The sequence below is a fragment of the Homo sapiens genome, chromosome 7, assembly GCF_000001405.40.
Source record: "Homo sapiens chromosome 7, GRCh38.p14 Primary Assembly".
Classification (NCBI taxonomy): domain Eukaryota; kingdom Metazoa; phylum Chordata; class Mammalia; order Primates; family Hominidae; genus Homo; species Homo sapiens.
Window position 1 is genome coordinate 131836351 of NC_000007.14, and position 4902 is coordinate 131841252.

Here is a 4902-nt window from a genome sequence, read left to right on the forward strand (position 1 = left end):
AGGGAAATGATATAGAACAATATTAAGAGAAATAAAAATGTCTGTCTTCAAATTAAGTACCTTTTTATCTCATCCCCCTGGGTCATTAATTACCACTGTAGCCTCATCTTGGTCTCCCTACTCAACTCAAGGAGAATACTTAACTTTCTTTTGGTGGTTCAAGTGTCAAAAATGTCCTTAGGCTGGTGTATAGTTTTTCAGAAAATCACTTCTAACTCCTTTCCTGCTGATCCTTCTAATAACCCTGCTTATGGTTTATCGGAGGCAAAGTGTTAAGTGTTTCATCGTTTCTCTAATTAGTTCTAGAGGATAACAGCTCCTTCACAAAAACAAACCATTTTTCAAAAATTTTCTCCAAGTTTTGCTTCTAGAATACCTTTCCCATCCCTCTTTCTCTCTAGCTAACCATCTGATTGAGAGTGGTTCTAGAATATAACACAATAATAACAGCTGCAAATGCTTTTTGAGCACTTTCTTATTGCCAGCCAGTGAGGATGCTGTGACTTAGAAGCAGCACAAGATCACATGGCTGAGGAGTGGTGGCACAGCCTGCGCCTCACTCTGCCCCCTGAAGGTCAAGTGAGGTGGGAGTTGCTTGGAGTTGAACCTGGGTTCTCCCAACCTCCAACCAGGTGCTATTGTCCCTGGACTCTATTCCCGCCTTCCTTTGGTTGCTCCCACTCTTATTACAAACAGAGAGAAAAATCCCTTAAAGAGTGAGTCTTTGAGCCTATAACAAACCTTTCTGTATCCAATCTTTTTCTCTATTTCTACCAACATATATTTTACATTAATAAAAATTACAGAACATCATGGTTCTCTACTAATTGTAAAAAGGTTTTTAATTTTAAAAAAGTTCGTTGCAGAGATTTATGAAAGGAACCAAGTGTTTTTCTTCAGGATATTTTACATATGAGTATAATACAGAACAGTTTGAAAATAGTTATTCCATGCATATTAATTAAGATATTCTTCCTCTGCCCCTGCAACAGCAGAAATCAATTCTGGTTGGCTTAAACAAAAGGGACATTTTTAAAGGAACACTGGAGAATTTCATGGGCTCAAAGAAGCACATGAAACCACCAAGACACAGAGAGGGGAAAAACTGGGGAAAAACTGGGGCATGCCCGGAGACCCCACAGTAAGAGAACCTAGACCTTATCAATTTGTCCTGCCATGGTGCAACCCCATTCTCACGTTTCTTGAGATCTCACCATCCCACAAGATAAATCTTCTGTAGGAAGAAAATGTGATTAAACCAGATTTACTTAGGGGTGTACAAATGGATCAGTCAGCCATGGTGAAGGCTGAGGGGTCAGTGGCCACATTTCAGGACTTCTCCCAGAGAAGGGCCATTGTGGTGAGTGGGCTTTGCATTGTGATTTCTTTACATGGCCTTGGAGCCCTAGAGAGCTCTTTTATGTTCCCTTTCTTCCTTATTCTATCCCCCATCATGGGGCAAGACTGACAGTCCAAAAATGCAAATGTGGGGAACAAGAAGTATTGGCCACTGATGGTTTGTCCCCAAGATCTCTTCAGGTAGCTTGGTAACAAGCTAGCAGGGCTCAGGGCTCCCTTGCCCCCTCCGGCAGGAGGTGCTGCACACCTTCAACTTCCTCAGCCTCCTACATCCAGATGCAGGGCGGCTAGCCTTCCCCGTGACTCCTGTAAATAGCGGTGCCCAAGCTCAGGACATTTTGCAGCTAATCTCAGACAGTTTTTGCCTCACTTTCATGGCTCCTCTCATGCTTGTCCCTTGAAAGGAGAAGTGGAGGGAGTGGGGTCCCTCTGCTGACACACCCTCCGTCCGTCTCACCCCCTGTGATCCTGCAACCCAGTCCAAGCATGGCTTTGTGTAGGATGCTAGAGAACCAAGGCAAATTCAGCCCCTTCTGCCCACGAGTGCCAGCCCACACCAAGCAGCATTTGCTGGTGGCCACCCCAATGCTTTTGCTTAACAGTTAGCCTAAGGCAGTATGACAAACTTAGTTCAGACCTGAAGTTGGGGAGGTTATTAAGGGAAAGAGGTATAAATAATTCTAGGTGATAGCAACTCCCAGCACCAGGTGGAGTCTAAGCCCTCAATCAAAGAAGGCCTTAGGAGATGATGCAAAGAATTAGTTGCAGGTTCCAGGAGCCAATCTGGGGCTTCCATAGCTGGGGGGACATGGGGACTGCCATTCTTGCCCCAGCTCTGTCCGTCACATATTGCTTGATCTTGGGCAAATCACATCACCTTTTTGTTTCTTAATTTCTTCATTATTACACAGAAGTGTCATAATGTCCATCCCATCTGGGAGAGTTGCTGTGAGACTGAAATCAAAAGTTAAAAGCACTGTACATTTTGAACTATTGTTGATCTGGGGAAACTGAGCCACAGAGCCATTCCCCAGACCAGAATGCAGAGGAATGAACACAGCCTTTGGAATGTGCCAGAGTGGATGGGGGTAATTAGCTGCCCTGGAGTCCTCTCACTGCACTTTGTAGTTAAAGGTGACTGTGACTTTTGCTAACTTTTCTCAGGATCACAGATTTCTCTGAGCAGAACTGTAGCCATAATAACTTAGCAGGCTCCACTGGATTGATAACTCTGAAATCTAAGGGCCATTCAGTTGCTAAAGGCTTTTTATTTAGCCTTTCTGTTTGGTATTAATGTTATCCCCATGGCATCTAAATGGCAGAGCTATTTATGGATTGGAAGTCATTCTGACAGTGTGGCTCCTGGCCATCCATCATGGGCAGGAGAGAAAAATCCAGGTGCGCAAAACTCCTAGGGTAGGCAGGACAGATGGGGATATTTAATGCTTGCTGATGCCGTGAATTCTACTTAATTTCTTTGTAAGCAACAGTAGCAAAGGGCAATAGAAAAAGAGCATCTTTCTTTGAAAAGGTAAGAGATCAAGTCCTAAACTTTGCACTGAAGGCATGACTTCTCTGGGGTTGAAGTCACTGTAGAGACAACATTGTGGTATGTATTGGTACTTCTCAACCTTTTTTGAATATGAAGATTCTTTTAATTGGAAAAAAGGAATCTCAACATGGGAGTAACTGCACCTGAATGTTGACTGATTGAGAAGATACATAATTACTGTAGGGTACACTGTATTCAGTAACAATTTTCAATAAGTTTATATTTAACTCATGAAAATGACACACTTGAAAAATAGTGCATATATGATTGAGACATGTTTTTTTTTTAGTTTAAAGACTGAACATAGACCTTGCTGCTAATGATAACAGTACACCTAACACTTGTTGAGAGTTTATCATGTTCCAGGTACTGTTCTAAGCAATTTTTTTGAGACAAAGTCTTGCTCTGTTGCCCAGGCTGGAGTGCAGTGTCATGGTCACGGCTCACTGCAGCCTTGACCTCCCAGGCTCAAGTAATCCTTCTGTCTCATCCTCCCGAATAGCTGAGACTACAGGCACATGCCACCACACCCGGCTAATTTTTAAATTTTTTTTTTGTAGTGATAGAGTCTCCCTATGTTGCCCAGGCTGGTCTCAAACTCCTGGGCTCATGTGATTCTCCCATCTTGGCCTCCCAAACTGCTGGGATTACAGGTATGAACCACTGTGCCCGCCGTTTTAAGGCATTATCTCATTTAATTTTCATGACAACTCTGTGAGATTGGTAACAATCACTATTCCCATTTTACAGATGTGGAAATTGAGGATCATAGATGTTAAGTAACTTTCCCTGGGTCACTCACCTGGCAAGTGATGGAAAAAATGTTCATCCCTGAGTCATCCATTATTGTCATCAACATCATCATCCACAGTCTGCAAGACTCGCCCAGTGCAGACTTTGCATGGAGCTGACATGCAGGCGGGTGGGGAGAAACTCCAGCACTCTGTTCAACATCTTTTGAAGTCGGCCTCCCAGCTGTGAGCATGTGCCAACCTCTCTTGACTGCACATCCTGCTTTATTCTCTTCTCCCCTCTCTTCCTCCTTTATCTCTTCCATTTGGCCTTTACAAGTGTGGGTTCAAGAGGAACTTTTAGAGAGGGGGCAGGGCACAGAGAGTTGAGAGACTGCCAGATATTTGAATAAAATGTTGTCTCTGAATCCTATTTTCCACTGTTTATCTCCTTCAAGGCTCCTGACTGAGGAAGGATTTTCACAGGGAACAAGAGTCAAATGGGAAAACCTATGACTTCATTAGTAGCTAGGCAAACTCCTGACACTCCAAAGGCCAGCCTTCTCTGCAAAAATCTGGTTTGGAGATTATGAGGCCCAAATTAACTTCCTATTTCCTATTCTTTACATCTAGAATGTAAACATTCTGTAGAAATTTCTTTTTTATTTTTTCTTTTGTTGAGACAGATTCTCGCTCTGTCGTCCAGGCTGGAGTGCAGTGGTGCAATCTTGGCTAACTACAACTTCCGTCTCCTGGGTTCAAGCGATTCTCCTGCCTCAGCCTCCCGAGTAGATGGTATTACAGGCACGTACCACCACATGTGGCTAATTTTGGTATTTTTAGTAGAGACAGGGTTTTGCAATGTTGGTTCAGGCTGGTCTCGAACTCCTGACCTCAGGCGATCTGCCCGCCTCAGCCTCCCAAAGTGTTGGGATTACAGGCATGAGCCACTGCACCTGGTCTTCTTAGAAATTTCTGAGTCCACCTTTTAAAACTAGTCTCATGAAGGAAGAACAGCTAGCCTGTCTTTCTATGTGGACATCCGATATATTTGTCCCTATCTTTTCTCTGGCAATGACACTGCCATTTCTTTTGGGAAACTGGCTCTCTTCCATTCCTTGTCATTCTGGTAGAGGCCACCAGTTACAGTATCTGTGTTCCTCCCTTGCCATGGCCCCATTGACTTATCCAGGAACATGGATGTGACTCAAGCAAGGCTGATCCATGGACCTGGAAAAGAGGAGGTCTTCCTCCTTCTTG

General features: G+C 43.8%; 1 annotated feature.

Moving 5' to 3' along the window:
* Positions 3268 to 4467: an enhancer, noted in NCBI's record as "CDK7 strongly-dependent group 2 enhancer chr7:131524377-131525576 (GRCh37/hg19 assembly coordinates)". NCBI's record gives its function as "activates an origin of replication core promoter dependent on BRD2, BRD4, P300/CBP, MED14 and CDK7 cofactors, with strong dependence on CDK7, by STARR-seq in HCT116 cells {active_cell/tissue: HCT116}" and the evidence as "EXISTENCE:reporter gene assay evidence [ECO:0000049][PMID:35650434]".